Here is an 18729-nt window from a genome sequence, read left to right as displayed (position 1 = left end):
TTTGACATTGAAAAAATATTTATTGAGTGCCTACTACATGCCAGACAGAATTGGGTATATGTGCTAAGGATACATCAAAGAACAAACATATAAAAATCTCCACTCTGATTGAAGTTAACTCTGTTGGCAAATATATGGAATATATATGCAGAAAAATGGTACTCAAAATTGCAGAAAACATCAAAATATGCACAGGGGTCATAATGCTATATAATATATATGCATTGACTTAACATTTTATTTAGAAACAATCATGTTTAATGTTCATTTATTTTTGTTTAATAACATAAGTTAATTGATTTAAATGTTAAAATGTTGAAATTCAAAAAATGCTTTCTATTCTAACTGGGAACATCCAACAACTCATTTCAGTAATTATCTAGAATTATTCATTTATTCTAACATTAAATTAGTGACTGCTTTTATTCTAATGGAGGAGCCAGGCAAGTTAAAGGTCATCAGTACAGTGTAATGCATGCCATAATAGGGAGAAAGAAAGGGGACCTTAACCTCTGATGCCTAATTCATCAAAGGAGATGAGCAATAAGTTGATATATCAGGACACAGAGAAGCATACACTACAGCAGCCAGAGTGCACAAACAGAAGCACGAGCTGTGCTTGAGGAGCTTACACTCTCATAGGACAATGATCCATGTCTGCACTTGATCTAAATGGGCTCATATTTAAAAGAAAAGCATTGTCAAAAAACTAAAGTGTTTTGATAGTGTGTCCTTTTATCTTATTTCAGATTCTTCCAGAAGCCAATGGGTTTTGAGATACATCCATGGGTAAAATACTTGTCACAGGCATTGTTTGGTGAGTCTGACATTTGAACATGGCAAGCATTGCCCTCCGAAACCTACGATAAAAAAAGGAAAATCTGGCATTAACCCATAATGATTTGGAACTTCTAAAGCATTTTCAAATATGGCTAAGATGCCACTACTGCCAATTTACATCTCTGGATAAATTTCTGCCTCCAACTTTAACATGTCCTGTTGAGAACCTTTATAAATATATAAAGTATATGGTACAGTTAAAGCCCATTTTGCACTATTGATTCTATAGATTTCCTGTTGAGAAACTTTATAAATATATAAGGTATATGGTACAGTTAAAGGTCAATTTTGCACTGTTGATTCTACAGATTGAAGACATCTACTAAAAGTAAATAATTATATGTATTTAAAAGGATGCTACTAATGTCAAGTGCCATGAGTTGTTTATTTGAACTAACAATGTGTATTTCATCCATCTGTTCTTCCTAGCAAGAATTTTCCAAAAGAACTACCAGCAGATTCTGAATTTAAAATGTGTTCTTCATTCTTCTTATGTGGTCTGTTTGGTCTGTAAAATTTTATGTTTCTTCACATACCTGTAGCTAAAGCTGCTTTTCCAAACATTGCCATTCCAGGATAAAATTACCTGACCTCGGCTGGACGCGGTGGCTCACGCCTGTAATCCCAGCGCTTTGGGAGGCCGAGGCGGGCGGATCACGAGGTCAGGAGTTCAAGACGAGCCTGGCCAAGATGGTGAAACCCCATCTCTACTAAAAATACAAAAATTAGCCGGGTGTGGTGGCGGGCACCTGTAATCCCAGCTACTCGGGAGGCTGAGGCAGGGAATTGCTTGAACCTGGAGGCAGAGGTTGCAGTGAGCTGAGATCACACCACTGCACTCCAGCCTGGGTGACAGAGAGAGACTCCGTCTAAACTTCACTGAGGAGGCAGAAAAGGAACATTTTGCTAAGAAACCCAAAAAAGAGAGGAGGTAAGAATTCTCTAGTATCCAGATGCCTTTTATGTTGGGACTAAACTTTTCCCTTGCATTTGAATGATATGTCTTATTTCTTGTAAATATACATCTGTGCTACCCACCAAGTGAGCCCAATGTTGCCTTGTCCATTTTCCAGTTATAGAATCCCTCTTTTCTTTGGAAACCACTATTCCATGTATTTGGGGTGGGGGTAACCATTTGAACTAAGCTGACCACTGACATCCCAGGCTCTTTTCTGCCAGAGAGCCATCTGAGATGCAATTGGCATTTGGGGATGCTTAGCTGGTAGAACTTGGGTCTGGGGTTGCCCACAATCATCTCTGCCACTGTGTGGGAAGAGTCTGTAACAAATCTGGAGCTCTAAGCATTTAAGGTCCTAGATGCTGCTCCAGTCACATGAGGCAAATGACCTTTATGCTAGATTGAAGTGGGTTTCTGTCACTTCTCTCCCAAGAAGTCTTAACATTCTTTTTATATCAGTTTTATTTTGTACTGCAAGCATTTTAGACATTACTTACTTTTTATTAGCAACCACATAAATGCAGGGGTTATAGAATGTAGAAGATTTTGCAAACAGTGGAGCTATGATGGCCATGGGGGGAGGAATCTTCTTTGGGTCACCAAAAGAAGCCCATAAGCACACGATGGAATAAGGGGACCATGCCACCAGAAACATGCAGATCATGATCACAGACATCTGAAAAGAAATAAATATTCACCAAGCCCAATACCTAAAATATTTAAATATTAATATATCTAAAGTTGGGTAAAAATCTATCTGGGTTGGAATTTGAATATGTTTATGTTTTTGATGACATAAAGGAAATAGTTGAGTTTTTTTTCTGCCTTCAATGTTCTTTTTTCAAGTGCCTGAAGTCCTCGATGATAATAAGACCTTGTGAAATGGGTATATCAAGAATATATAACATTGCTTTTAAGAATGGTACACACACATAAGGAATGCCCTCTTTCTTTCTGCGTGCTAGGGGAGAGTACAAAAGCTGACTTTGATGAAAGACAGATAAAAACCCACCCCACCCCACTTCACATCATTATGCTATGAACTCCTGGCATGGCTATTATTATTATTATCACCATCATTATTATTTGCTCTTACTGGGATTACCTGCTAAATTAACAAAAGTAACTTTCTAACTTTCTAAACTCAATCTGGAAACAAATACAATCCTATCTTGAGCTCAGTGAATTCTAACACAGGCCATTTCTGCTGGATATATGTTACACACAATGCAGACAATTTTGTAAAGGAGATCTCTTGCATCTTGTTTAAATGGAAAAATTATATTTTTATATTGCTTCCCTAGATTGCCTGCTAAAATTATGGAACAGAGGTTAAAGAAGACATAAAACCATAAGGACAGAGAATCAGAGATTAGATAATACATATTTTTAATGGAAAAAATGGCCATTGGATAAGTGGCAAATTATGTAAGAAACATGAGAATAATTTTATAAATAAGTAAATAAATAAACGTTAAAAAGAGCCAACTATGAGGGAAAACCAGATACAGACCAATCCATACTACAGAGCTACAGAAATTCTAGTAACAAAGGGTACCAGAAAACTCTAGATGTGGGGGTGCACATGGAGCTCAAAATAGAACTGGTTGAAATCTACAAAGAAAGTAGACTTCCAAATCTTTACCCCTGTCCACTCAGTCTACTCAGTAACTTCCCCTTCCTCTCCCTAGAAGACTTCCAGAGGCTCAGTATAAAGAAAAAAGAAGGCTAATTTGGGAAACTCAGAACACAGGGACACCAGGTTCAGCTAAGCACTTCAGTACTGTATTGAAAAGAGGGGTACCTGTATGCTGCTCCCTCCCTGCACTGAGTGTGAAAAAACTTGGAGATAGACTTGTGCCTCCCACCCAGGAACATGAAAGGAACTGATCTGCCCAGAATAAAATACCTAAAGATATAGTTACCTAGACAGTTAGAAATTCCCCCAAACCTCCATTCCATCATTTTAGCAGGCAATCAGGAGGGAGCAACATGAAAAATATAATTTTTCCATTTAAACAAGATACAAGAGAGCTCCTTTACAAAATTATCTGCATCATGTGTAATATATATCCAGCAGAAATGGCCTGTGCTAGAATTCACTGAGCTCAAGATAGGATTGTATTTGTTTCCAGATTGAGTTTGGAAGTTAGAAAAAAAATTTTTTTGATTAGCAGATAATCACAGTGAGAGCAAATAATAATAATGATGATGGTGGTCATAATAGTAATAATAACTACAGAGACAATTAGAAATTCCCCCAAAAGAAACATCTTGCTAATGAGCATCTCCATGCTTACAATCAACATTTTTAATGCATTACTCTTAAGTATGAAGGGACAATCACTGACCACCAGACATTAAGAAAACTTTTACATTGACAGGCAAAGAAAAAAAAAAAAACAGTGCAAGAACTCAGGGGAAACAAAAATATGTGGTAAACAGAAGGAAGTATAAATATATACATAATATCACAGAAATAACAGGAGATATACATCCATAAAACAAGGAGAGAATAGAGTATAAAATAGCTGTTTTATCAATAAAAATGGTTTTTAACTCAAGAAGAGAACCCAGGCAATACCATTCAGGACATAGGCACAGGCAAAGATTTCATGATGAAGATGCCAAAAGCAATTGCAACAGAAGCAAAAGTTGACAAATAGGATCTAATTAAACTAAAGAGCTTCTACACAGCAAAAGAAACTATAAACAGAGTAAACAGACAACCGACAGAATGGGAGAAAATTTTTGCAATCTGTGCATCTGACAAAGGTCTAATATCCAGCATCTACAAGGAACTTAAACAAATTTATAAGACAAAAACAAGCAACCCCATTAAAAAGTGGGCAAGGGACATGAACAGGCATTTCTCAAAAGAAGACATACATGCAGCCAAGAAACATGAAAAAAAAAAAGCTCATCACTGATCATGAGAGAAATGCAAATCAAAACCACAATGAGATACAATCTCATACCAGTCAGAATAGCTGCTAATAAAAAGTCAAAAAATAACAGATGCTGGTGAGGTTGTGGGAAAAAAACACTTTTACACTCTTGATGGGAGTATAACTTAGTTCAACCATTGTGGAAGATTGTGTGTGGCAATTCCTCAAAGACCTAGAGACAGAAATACCATTTGTCCCACCAATTCTTTTACTGAGTATATACCCAAAGGAATATAAATCATTGTATTATAAAGACACATGCACATGTATGTTTATTGCAGCACTATTCACAATAGCAATCATGGACATGACATGGAATTAACCTAAATTCTCATCAATGATAGACTGGATAAAGAAAATGTGGTACATATACACCATGGAATACCATACAGCCATAAAGGAATGAGATCATGTCCTTTGCAGGGACATCGATGGAGCTGGAGGCCATTATCTTTAGCAAACTAATGCAGGAACAGAAAACCAAATACCTTATGTTCTCACTTATAAGTGGGAGCTAAATGATGAGAACACATGGACACACAGCGGAAGCAACACACACTGGGGCTTGTTGAAGGGTAGAGGGAGGGAGGAGGGAGAGGATCAGGAAGAACAGCTAATGGATGCTGGGCTTAATACCTGGATAGTCTGTGCAGCAAACCACCATGGCACACGTTTACCTATGTAACAAACCTACACGTCATGCACATGTACCCCTGAACTTAAAATAAAAGTTGGAAATTTAAAAAAAATGGTTTTTCTCCTATCTGTAAAAGTGAGAGTAGAATGTAAAAAATGTTACAGAAAGGTTGTATGATATTATCAGGCTGGGAACAGGGGGAGGTGAATCAGGTGAATTATATCAGTGCAGGGTCGGATCCTGTTTTTATTTAAAATTTCTATTTTGTTCAACATAATTTTTACATTAATATTGTTTTTTAAGTACTACATTAAACCACTTTTTTTATTAATGAGTTTTTTGGTGCTTGCTTGAATTTTGCACCCAAGGGTTGGCCTTCACTATCCTCACCCTTATCCTAGACCTAGATATGGTTAAGCAAATCTCCCAGAAAGTAGAAACAAAAAGAAACAAACAACAACCACAAAAGAAACAAACAAAAATAGACAATATAGGAGAGAAAATTTAAGAAAATTAGAAGGTAAATCTAGCAGATTAAATATCTAAATAAAAGGAATTCCAGGGAAAGAGAAGAAAAGAAAAAACAGAGGGACTGAAATAATCAGAGAAATGATACTAGAAATCTCCTAGAAGAGGAAGACTGGAGTCTCCACACTGAAAGTACTCACCAAGTACCCAGCACTGGATAAATACTCATACCAAGGTGCATCAGTATACATTTTCAGAAAACTAGAGACATAGAGAAGATCCTATAAGCTTCCAGAGAGAACCCACAGATCACCACAGAGCATCACCCACCAGAATGCCATCAGCCTTTGTAGTAGCAATGCTGGAAGCTAGGAGACTGTAGAGCAATGCCTTCAAAACTCTTTGAATATTACTTTTGCACCTAGAATTCTAGACCAGGCAAACAATCAGTCAAACATGATAGTAAAATTAAGACATTTTCATTCATGCAAAGTCTTAAAAAATTTACCTCTCCCATAACCTCAGGAATTAATTGAAGAATGTGCTCCACCAAATCAGAGGAAATAAACTAAGAAAAAAAAAAAGGAAGACAAGCATTCCAGAAAACAGGGGATTCGACCCTGGAAGGAGGTGAAAGCATCCTGAGCTGGTGATGAAGGGAGGCCTGAGGATGTTGGCTTTCTGAGCAGTGGTCCTCAGGAGCAATCAGTTCAAAGCAGAGCAAGAGGCCCCAGGGAACCAGGAGGATGGCTCCAAGAAGAGGATAAGGTTCATCACATCTGTGGTGTGTTTAAACATACTGAGAGCAGAGAAAGAGCCTCTTTATCTAACCAAATATTGTTAACATTATACTGACAGGTAAGGAGAGAGAAAGGTGTGGAGGAGGAGTTGGGCAGGTGGGTGGTATAAGAGAATAAATCCTCATCATCCATAGTAGGAAATCAAGAGATGATGACCAACAAAAATATCCAAAAGAGCAAACAGCATATCATTCAGAAATAAGAAGGCAAGTGGCCAGGCGCATTGGCTCACACCTGTAATCCCAGCATTTTGGGAGGCCAAGGCAGGTGGATCGCCTGAGGTCAAGAGATCAAGACCAGCCTGGCCCAACATGGTGAAACCCCATCTCTACTAAAAATACAAAAAAAATTAGCCAAGTGTGGCAGCAGGTGCCTGTAATCCCAGCTACTGGGGAGGCTGAGGCAGGAGAATCACTTGAACCCGGGAGGCGGAGGTTGCAGTGAGCCGAGATCGTGCCATTGCACTCCAGCCTGGACGATAAGAGTGAAACTCCATTTCAAAAAACAAAAGCAAAAAACAAAAATAAAAGCAAAAAAAGAAATGAGGAAGCAAACACAGAAGAAAGAGCTGGGGAGTGAGAATTGGAGATGAGGGAGAGAAGACTGCGGTGGTCCCAGGGACTCTTTCAACTATGAGTGGGTAAAAGCTCCATGACAACAATTTTTCAAGGATTTTGATCTCTTACCTTTGTTACATCTATCTGATCTGACCAGTCTCTGTTGAGGGACTCAGTGCAGTCACTGGTAGTGTGATGTTTAATGGATAGCGTGACATGGTAATAGCAGTAAAACATCACTGTCAAGGGCACAATAAAATTTATCGCAATAACTGTCATGGTGTAAGACACAAAAGATCTGAAAATAAGAAAAGGCAATCATGATTGCTCATTTAATGTCCTAAGTGGGGGAAGGAGAAAGAGGAGATAATTATTAAAAACAATACTGGTAGTCATTATATTGCTAAATAATTTTAGAAGTATATTTGACTTTTAGTTTATTTAGGCCCGGAATTGGCAAACTATGGACTGTAGGCCTATTTCAGCCTATCACTCATCTTTGTAAATAAAGTTTTATTGGAACACAGCCATGTACCCTCATTTACATACTGGCTATGGCTGCTTTTACAGGATGATGACAGAGTTGAAGAGCTGTGATAGAGAACATCTGGGCTATAAAGCCTAAATTATTTACTTTTAATTCTTTTCAAGACATAATCTTGCTCTGTCACCCAGGCTGGAGTGCAGCGGTGCAATCACGTCTCACTGTAGCCTTGAACTCCCCAGCCCAAGCCAATCTCCATTTTAGCCAACCGAGTAGCTGAGACCACAGGCATACACCACCACAGCCAGCTAATTTCCCACCCCCCGCACCACCCTCTGCTTTTTTTTTTTTTTTTTTTTGTAGAGACAGGGTCTCAATATGTTGCCCAGGCTGGTCTCAAACTCCTGGGCTGAAGTGATCTTCCTGCCCCAGCCTCACAAAGTGCTGGGATTACAGGCATGAACCACTGTGCCCAGCCTTTACTTTTTGAATCTACAGAAAAAAATTTAGATCAGGTTTGAGATCTAGAAATTTTCTGTTCATGTTTATGTCATCCTTCATTTCCTCTAATGAACTAAATTATTATCTTGTTCCTGGAAAATATAAAGAAGCCTCACTAACTAGCAGGCAAATCTTTGCAGTGACTGTGCTTTTGCTACGCAGTTCTCAGAATGTGCTGGAACACCAGACCATCTTGAAAAGACAGCAGGGAGGCAGCCTGGGCTTTTGCCAGAACTGCACACTCTGTCTAGCTTCATTAACCCTTTTCCTGCTCATGATCCTACCTTTGAAATGTGCAAATATTGGAAGGGTGATTGGTACCCTGCATTGCTGCCTTAAGAGAGAACACAGGGGAGGGAGGAAGGAATGGGATAAAGGAGACAAAGGGAGCTGGATGACCTTTACTTGCAAACAAGCATAAGTCACTTTTCTCAATTCCGTCTTTGAACTGAGAATCACATCATCACTACCAGGGAAGTGCTTCGCCACCTTCTGTATGAGGAACACATGATCTGAGCTTAAATTTGAAAGGGTGAGAAAATGTCTACATTAGAAGCATTTGATTATAAAGTGTAAACTTGTCTCTTACCTATCATTTTTCCTCCAGTTTATGGTACACGTAGCACCAGTAGGATCTGGGGCATAACTAGCCCACCCTATGATAGGCATCAAAGCCCAAAACAGGCCATTGATCCAGGCTCCCAGAATCAAGCCGATGTAAGTGTTGGTGGTCATTCTTCTCCCTATTATCAAGCACAGGAAATATTAGCAACATTTGCCATTAATGGGACTCACTTTTTAAACTTGCTTGATTTGTAAGTGTTATCAAGTAGATTCTTTACAGAGCACTTTGATTGGCCTTAGGAGCCAAAACATGAGTGCAACACCTAATAAAAGTAACACAAATATTCTCCCTTTTACTAAGCCTATCTACATAAGTTCACATTCTGGAAAAAAAAAAAGACATTTAAGCTGAAACCTAAATGAGAAAAGAATCAGCCAGAGGATAAGCAGGAAGAGTAGCTTTCCAAACCTAGCAAAACAGCAGGTATGAAAACCTCACTTTGGGCTTGGACCGTACCTCAAAGTGTGAATAGCCTTATGAAATTTGGATTTTATTCTAAGTACAATAAGAAGCCATTGAAACATTTGAACAATTATTGGCAGAGAAATAAAACTGACCCTAACTACAAACCATTAGGTTTATATTTTAGCGTATATATATATTGAGTGGCCATTAGTCAAGAAATGGATTCATTAAGAAAGCTGAGAAAAGTGTTGTACCTACGTCAGGAAGGCAGATGGTCAGGTATCGGTCCACAGCCACGACCGTGAGTAATCCAATGCTTGCCATTCCAAAAAAAATATTCAATCCAGCATAAACCTGAAAACCAAAATTGAAAAGACTCTACCATTCTAAACACCCTCCCAAGAAACATTAAATTTTTGTCCATTGTTAGAATATATCTCAAATATACTAAAGGTTTTTTACTTTACTACTTTAAAATACATCTTCATTGTCAAATTATAACTGGTTTAATAAAAGAATTTATGGAAAGTAATTTGTAATTTCATTAACTAAAATGGACTTTTTTGAAAATTTTAAGACTTACAGTGAAATTTCTTTACAACACTCTATGAACAGAGTGCAGAACAACCACAAACCAGCAAAAGACTAGTATTCAGAAGATGGGTAATTCAACAGGAGGAAAAGACAAACTCAATAGAAAAATGGCCAGATGATGAACGGGGTATTCACACAAGCCCATTAGCATTTGAATGTTTATAACATAAGACATACAACCACAATAAATATTCAAAGAAATACTGATTATAAGATGGCATTTCACACTCAAGAAAATGAAAATTTAAAAGTCTGACAATCCCAAATGTTAAGGAGAATGTGGAGTAATAGATGTTCTCATAATCTGAATAACTATTTTGGACAGCAATTTGGCTACTTCTGATAAAGTTGAAGATGAACATTCTCTACAACTTAACCATTCCACTCCTAAGCAATGTGGCTAAAGAAACTCACATATTGCAGAAGGAGACATATGTAAGAACATTTACTGAAGCCTTATCTGTGACAGAAAAAAAAATGGGGGTCCGGGCGCAGTGGCTCATGCCTGTAATCCCAGCACTTTGGGAGGCCGAGGTGGGAGGATCATGAGGTCAGGAGATCGAGACCATCCTGGCTAACACGATGAAACTCCGTCATTACTAAAAAAAAAAAAAATACAAAAAAAAAAATTAGCCAGGCTTGGTGGCAGGCACCTGTAGTCCCAGCTACTCGGGAGGCTGAGGCAGGAGAATGGTGTGAACCCAGAAGGCAGAGCTTGCAGTGAGCGGAGATCACGCCACTGCACTCCAGCCTGGGCAACGGAGCGTGACTCCATCTCAAATAAAAAAAAAAAAAAAAAAGGAAAAGAAAAAAAATGGCAACAAAGGTCCAATAAGAGTAAAATGAAAATGTACATTGGGCTTTCTACGTTCACAAAATGGAATATTATATAGCAGTTAAAATGAATGACTTACAGTCATATCCATCAACATGGATAAACCTCAAAAACATAATATCTAACAATGAAAGGAAATCGCATAATGCAAACAATATGATATCATTTACACAAAACCTGAAGTATTCAGACAGTATCTGGTTTATGTGCACATATATTAGAGAGAAAAACATTCATGGGAGGAATAAGATTGAAGATGGCATGCGGTGGCCTTCATCATTATCTGTATAGTTTTATATCTTTAAAAAGAAAAACAATCTGAAGCACAGATTGCGAAACATTAAGATTTAACAAAACTGGTTGGTACTTACGTGGTTATTCAGTATTCACTACTACTTTCATTTTATTCTCTATAGTTTTTAGGTTATGATAGTAAACTGCTAAAAGAATTAGCCTAAAAGTAATATTTGCTTACTGTCTTAAGGCAAATTAATATTAACTCATTTCCTTTTTACTAAAAAATAACATTTAGTAACAATTCTTATGGAGGACTTTCTATAGGAAAAAATTCAACAACATGGTAGCTTAACTATCTTCCATAATATTATGATTAAATCACTACTTTATTGTTTCAGATGAAAGCAGGTTATTTTTTTTAATTTGCAATATGCAAATATTTATTTGAATATGCAAATCAGCACTCTTCTCCTTTGGTTGAATGCTAGTTATTTTGTTTGTTTCTTCCTTTGAGTTGGGAGAATTTTGAAAATATAACAATGGTTGGTGATTTAATTTCTCTTATTAAAGAATATATTCCTAGTCACTTCTGTTGTTTTCCATAAAAGCACTGTATCTATTATTCTACAATATTCAATTTAAACTCTTGGGATTCGTTTTAGACATTTAAATTTACATTTATTTGATCTATTTATTTTGCTTTCATTCCAATGATCTCCAATACCTGACAGCCTGCGTATCCAAATTTCCAACTTCCATACAGATCTGAGGCAGCAGACATGGGATAGCCAATGCTACTGACCCCTATATCAGTAACAGCCAGGTTAATAATAATTGCATTTGTGGGTGTCCGAAGTTCCTTGTACTTAATGAAGATGCCCAGAACTATTATGTTGCTGATAATACTTATCATACCTGAGAACACACACAAAAATATGATGCATTTTGTTTAATTTGAATGTTTCAAAGTAGACTCAAAATTAAATATTTAAGCCCCTTTAAAAACATAACAGATCTATTTTAGTTCATTTATTTGAAGAGCTCCTGCTGTTCTTAAAACTGTATGTGACATCTTCACATCCCTTCTGTGAAACAGAAATGAGAAAATTAAAACACAAAGAATCTGGTAATTGCACAAGGCAGCACTGAACGTTGGTTTTAATGTCATTGCTATTGAGTGTTCTGTCCTTGAAACTCCTTCATTGGCTTTCATACCATTCCTACTGATTTTTAGGACAAATATATGACTGACCATGCCCTCTTTTTGTCAGCTTAACTTCCTCCTCTTCCTTCCTGGGGCCTGGGGCTCTTCTTTTTCGATAGTTGCCTTTCTCAAGCTTCAATTATCATTCTATCCTCACAGCACTTTTGTCACTATTTTCAGCCATGACACAAGCTCCAGTTCCATATCTTCTTTTTTCATTGAACTCATTGTCGTTTACTAAGCATCTACCATATGTAAGCTCATATGACTATTCCAGTATTTCTTGAAACTCAACATGTCCAAATTCTTCATTCCAACACACACACACACACACACACACACACACACACACACTACCCCAATAGAAGAATGCATACTACAAGACTTGACTATCCAGAGAGGAAGTTGAGCCAGCTTTTTGGTCCATAGAGAAGCCTCACAGCTGATACCACCTTAATCAAGTTTCTGGAAATCAAGTTTCCAGAACCTCAGTGTTGTCAGTGCCCCAGATTGGTTGCACTGAGGTAGACAGATAACTAAACTTATTAACCAGAATGCCACTGTTTTATTTTACACTGAGAAATACTGTCGAGTGTACTGGATGTGCATGTTCAACATCCCCTACATGCTGTAAAGGGCATAAGCCAGATATGGGCATACTAGATCCTAAAGGGGTGTGAGGGGGTGGGGTGTGAGTAGATTTCATCCAAGAAGCTAGAATCATTACTGGATTGTTAGAGACTAAAGGAGGGTTGTGCAACAAGCAGGAATAGAGTTGAGTTCCCCATCAAGAAAAGAATTACTTGGTGATCAATCCCCAACTATTGTCAGAGAGGGACAGTTTCCAAGCACCAACATACAACATCAGCTCAGTAAAAACTTTTAACATATCTTGGCACTTCAGTCAGAACTTCTGCCTTAGCCTGTTAAACTAACCTTCCAGATTCCTGTTCTTTTCCTCTCCTTGCTTCTGGCAGAATCAGCTTGCTATAACATAGACTTAACCATGGTTCTTCTCCTCCCGAAAACTTGTAGTATTTCCCACTGGCTGTGGGATAACAATCCAAATTTCCCAACCTGATATTCCAGGCTCTTTGCCTCATCTGTTGTCACTCTCTAGAAGCAAATTTCTACACTTGTCAAGTGAACTCTCCATTCTAGTTTTTGCCCAGATACACCATGCTTGACTCATATTTCTCCCACTTGGAGCACCCTGCTCCTTCTCTTTTCCTATCCAAATGCCATCCATCCTTCAAACTTCAGTTCAAGCCCCTAAGCCTTATCCTACCCACACTATCCTCTCCTCCCTAAATTTCCAAACTACTTGCTTATGATTAACTGAGTCTTATGTAACACTATATAATTTAACTGTTACTTTTCCTTGTCTTTTCATGTGGATTTCAGGCTCCTCATGATTTCTGTGGTTTTTGAATACGTGACATACAGCAGATTTATTTAATAAGTGGGCTACAACTAAAACCCATATTGCTTAATTTCTATCATTCCTTCAAGATAATTAGCACACAATGACAGCAAATTTGATGATTCTTTGGCCCTATTTTTAGCATCTAGGATTGTAGCATGTATACAAGATATACTCCGAAGAATTTAATGAAATGAAGACTCTTTCTGGGCTAGCTACAAATTCAATGACTTTTTAAAGTTAGATAAAAACAGTGCAGTAAATTGCTGCCTACCAAGTACGCAACCAGAATAAAGGAACTATAATTCTGGGAGTCTTAGAAATAATGGGGGTTATGAACTAAACAGTTTAGCCCTTTTCTCTATTCTCTCTGCAGCTGTACCAAGCACACTGCCTTGTTTCCACAGCTGTAGGTCTTCTAATGAGTATACAAAAGATCACCTAGTTGTTAGATTTTAGTTAAGTCCCATTTCACAGTCAGTCTAAACACTAAGTAGCACTTGATGTTGATTTCTCCTTCACTCTTGAAACATTTTCCTTCTTGTCTTCCGTGACTTCCGTGCAATCTCTTCAACAGACCCTTCTTGATCTACTTCCTGGCCTTTCTTTCTCCATCTATGTCTTATTAAATATGTGCATTGTCCAACCTTCTGTCCTAGATCCCTTTCTTTTCACATTTAACACATACTCTGAGTAATTTCTTCATACCCAAGGCTATACCCTGATATTTTTCAGCCTCCGGACACTCAAACCCATGTGTCCAGCTTTTTATTGGACACCTCTCAAACTGAACTGAGAGACTTTTTCTCCTGCCTCAAACCTGTTCTTCCCCAGGTGTGTTCCCATCTGATGAAGAGCATCACCATCTATTCAGTGGCTCAAAAAAGAAACCTAGGCATCATCTTTGATACTTCTCTCCTTCTCCCACAATCCCAACATCCAATCATCAATTCCACCTTCTGGCTCTTGAATGTATCTACTTTTTTCTGTCCCCACTGCGATTACTCCCTCCTCAGAATCACTGCAATGGCCTCCTATGTGGTCCCTTAGCTACCACTATAGCACATTTCTAAAACACAAATCAGATCATGTCACTCCCATTTCAAACCCTTCAGTGACTCCCTGTCACCTTTAAAACTTACACGGCTCATCACTGTCTGGTACTCAGCCATCTTTTTCAACCTCTCACCCTTCATTTTACAGTTCAAACATAATGATTTATTTCAGATCCTCAAATTCACCATGTCCTCTTACCTCCCAGCCTTAACTGGGGAAAGGGAGAGTGCTCAAGGACACTAAATTAACAAAATGTCTGTTGCACTGGAAGTTGTAACAGTTTATAGGAGCCAAACTATAAATGAAAGATCAAATTAAAAATTAAATAAAAAATCTAAATAGGCCCTTGGTAAAAGTAACGAATGAAATAAATGCTTTCACTACACCCTTTCCTCATAGTTTTGGTTTTGATTTGCAACTTTAAGTGAGTTTTGTTAAAGGAGGAAAGTTAGGGGATCTAAAGAAAAATAGATGCTTGATACAGGGGCAGAACAAAAGCATAAAGAGTTCAGCTATGCTTCCTTCAGTGGATCCACCAGAAACACAAACAACACACACTCATTGTATACCTTGATAAAGCTGACTCTTGGATTTATATGTGAGGGCTCTAGAACCAAAATGCCTGGGTTCAAATCCTGGTGTAGCTGCTTAGTAAATGTGTGTGCTGGACAAGTTTCTTAAGCTCTTCATCTGTATAAACTAGAGAAATAAAACTGAAGAGTAACTTACTAAATTAGTGTAAGGATGAATTATTCTGTATGTGTAAGGTTTTAGAACAGTGCTTGGTATATAGCAAGTATTCAAATGATAACATTAGTAGCAGTAGTAGTAAGATTACTATTATTATTACTGTTACAGAGATAAGAACTAAATAGAATATTTTCTGCATGCTAATTTTGTAACCAGGTCAAAAAAGGATAGTTTTGGTTGTTTTTTGGATTTTTTTTTTTTTTGGTCATCTACAAATAACTAACTAAACCAAACACTTGTATACAAAGTATTTCCATGTAATTGTTAGGAGATTTTCTCAGTCTTTTTTGCAATTACAAAAAAACTAGAACTTGTCTAGTACTTATCATAGAGGTATTCAAATGAACGAGATAACGTCACTAAAATCGCAAAACTTAACTGAGGAACTCAATTTCCAGTACTAGAAGTAATACGCTGAATTATAAGGAAGAAACGTAAACAATTATAAACTGGGTATAGGATGGTGTGTTATACTTTTCACTCTACTTTTGAATGTTTGAAAATTTTTATAAAAGTCAATCCAAAAAATAATGAACTCAATATAAGAGTTACTTCTACAACTCGTTAGAGTATAAAGTTGAAAATTAAGTGATTGCTCAATATAAAAGTTACACAATTCAATGATACATTAAAAAGATAAAAAGTTTCTGTCATTCCCCCATCCCTTTTTTTCTGCAAACAATCCTTTACATCAATGAGTGTGTAGGGAGGAAAGGGAAAAAGAAACAAATATTTGTCCAACACCTACTATATGGCATTTATGTGTCACTTAATTTTACTCCTTATAACAATCATGACAGATAACTTATTCTTATCCTTGTTTTACAGATGAGAAAATGGAAGAACAAAAAGGGAAGATACATGCTCACAGTTGCAAATATACTAAAAGATGAAATCCAAAACTCAAGAGTTTTCCAATAAGCATTCTGGAACAAGCTGAATTTTCAGACTCTGTCCTCAATGACAATATACCCTGCTCTGTCTTCTTAGGACTTTTTCTTTCCAGAACCTTTAAGTTCTTAGCTAAATTCTACCACCAAGAACAAAAATATGAGGGTTATGTATAAGAATAGTAAATGACATAAAAATATGTTTTTGCCATGGTGCATACTCTTCTCCAATAAAAACTTTAACAATCCAATAATCAAATACATAGATTTTTATGAAAGAACTATTTATCACATAGAAAACTTTTCTCAGCCCCACTTCACTGCTCTTATTTACCAAAATTCAAAATAACCTGTGGCAATGGCCATCACTAACAATGCTTTCCCTTATTCTTTCACCCACATTATCTTATTTGATCTTTACAGCCCAGAAATAGAGTATCATCATCCTCATTTACCAACGAGCAAGCCAAGTCAGGATAAATGACTTGTCAAGGTTGGCCAATAATATGGAACTTGAAACAATGCATGCCTTATGCTGAAAACTTCTGCCTTTCTTCACCCATTCTAAAGAAAAATAACTTACTTAAATATCCATACCTGCCATAATCAAGTAAGTTGCAACAATATTGTGTTCAGTCTGTGAAAAGACCGAGCCATCTTCATTTTTAGAGTCTGAACTGTTGCCTAAATTATTTCTTAGCATTTTGGAGGGAAGATACCGAAACACCCTTCATAATAAGCCTTCGATAATTATGAACTGCTTTATGAGCTACTGAGGAAAGATTTTTTAGGACCAATCATTTCCACTTAGAGACCTCAAAGAAGGGCCTTTTCATAGAGGCCCTCCCTTAACAAATTTAATTGGGCTAAAGAGGAAAGGACTTTAATTCCCAGAATAAGGGAAAAGCTTATTAGCAAAACAAAAAGAAATACCAAGCACCACACATTTTAACCTATTTGGGCATCAGTCTTCTATCTAAGGAGATTATCAAGCACACACATCCCATTTAACAATAAACAAACTCAGGAAATCAGTATAGGAGCCAGCCTTAGTCCTCTAAAACTATTCGGATTAAGGTCCCTGTTTTCTGTTGACCATTCAAGTCTTTCCATTTCGGCTCCTTTTGTTGTTTTTTTTTTCTTAACAATTTAAATATTAGTGACAAAGAAGTAGTCTCCTTCCTACTTCCAAATCTCACTCTCCTAAAGGTACCAGTATTGTTTGGTGCATATCCTTTCTTAGGCTTTTCTCTGCTTATACACATATTCATACAAGTGTTTCAGGTTTCCTCCACTTTCTTCTTGTAAATAAAAATGAGGGAAAAAAATAAGTACAAATGTATATATATAATGCAACTTGTTTTCCCATAAGGCTGTATTATAATATCCAAGTTAATAAACCCAGAATCTAATAAAGTCTAATTTATTAGTAGCTATGTATTTCATAGCATGGATATAATATGATCAACTCCACCATCCGTTAATTTCCCCTATAGTTTGATATGCACATGAGTAATTAATATTATCTGATGATAGTAATCATTGTATACTTTGCCAGAGTATCTGAATTCAATCACTGATATTGTAAAGTACAGAATAAAAATATTCTGGATTATCACATTACAACCTGAAAACCAACCTGAGCATGTTTTGTTAGAATAATAAGGTATCCCTATTACCTTTTTTCCCATATTCTTTATGCCATTAACATTATTAAAATCTGATTCTCCTCAGTTTCCTAAAATCAGTAAACATTAGAGAAATGCTTAGATGCACCAAAGTTAACAGTGTAAGCATAAAACAGAACCACTAGAGGGCTATATTTACCCACTTAGTTTAATTTTATAAAAATCCTAGAATGGCACAGCAGAAACCTAAGATAATCCTTTTGCTTCAGTTCTCTTGCCTGTGTATAAACTCAAGATGAACAGGTTGATTTATCTGTCCCAAATCTTATAGCTACCAGTACTCACATTTTTATAAATGTAATATTGTTATACCTATACTAGAAAAGCGAATCTCGTCAGTATTGTTTTCAAATGACCCTAGAGCAAAAAACATAATACCCAAGAGGAAATCACTCCCTTTAAAAAGTCTTTGTCTTTTCTTTCATTCAATATGCAAAACAAAACTTAAAATTTTTGAATTTGCTTTGGGTCATACTACCTTCCTTTTCTGTAATAAGTTATACCTAGTTGTAGCATCCATGAAAAATTTTCCAGAAATAATTATTTCTAAGAACTGAAAAATATATAATTTCAGATAGTCAGCTTTCTGCTGCAGATGAAAGTTTTGATATGAGTGAGGTAGGTGCATTTGAAGTTCTTTTTTATGCTTCCTTCATGGGTGATACAGAAAAGCTATATTGGGATAAGGCTTAGAAATACATGTGAATTTGATTCAAAATGAAATGCCTCAAAAAAACCCAGAAACTAGGCCAGGCGCAGTGGCTCACACCTGTAATCCCAGCACTTTGGGAGGCCAAAGCAGGCGGATCACCTGAGGTCAGGAATTCGA

The 18729-nt window shown here is 36.9% G+C and overlaps 1 protein-coding gene across 1 annotated transcript; it reads right to left on the bottom strand.

Moving 5' to 3' along the window:
* Window positions 1-16971, bottom strand: RRH (retinal pigment epithelium-derived rhodopsin homolog). The gene is made up of 7 exons (NM_006583.5): window positions 16810-16971; window positions 11614-11804; window positions 9478-9577; window positions 8783-8936; window positions 7338-7506; window positions 2296-2474; window positions 1-860 (listed from the first exon to the last, which is right to left on the bottom strand). Exons 1-7 carry the CDS (start codon window positions 16913-16915, stop codon window positions 746-748), a joined length of 1014 nt encoding a protein of 337 aa, NP_006574.1. The 5' UTR covers window positions 16916-16971; the 3' UTR covers window positions 1-745.
* Window positions 16972-18729: the final 1758 nt, after the last annotated feature.

This window comes from Homo sapiens, chromosome 4 (assembly GCF_000001405.40).
Source record: "Homo sapiens chromosome 4, GRCh38.p14 Primary Assembly".
NCBI lineage: Eukaryota > Metazoa > Chordata > Mammalia > Primates > Hominidae > Homo > Homo sapiens.
This window is presented reverse-complemented; position numbering and strand designations above follow the sequence as displayed.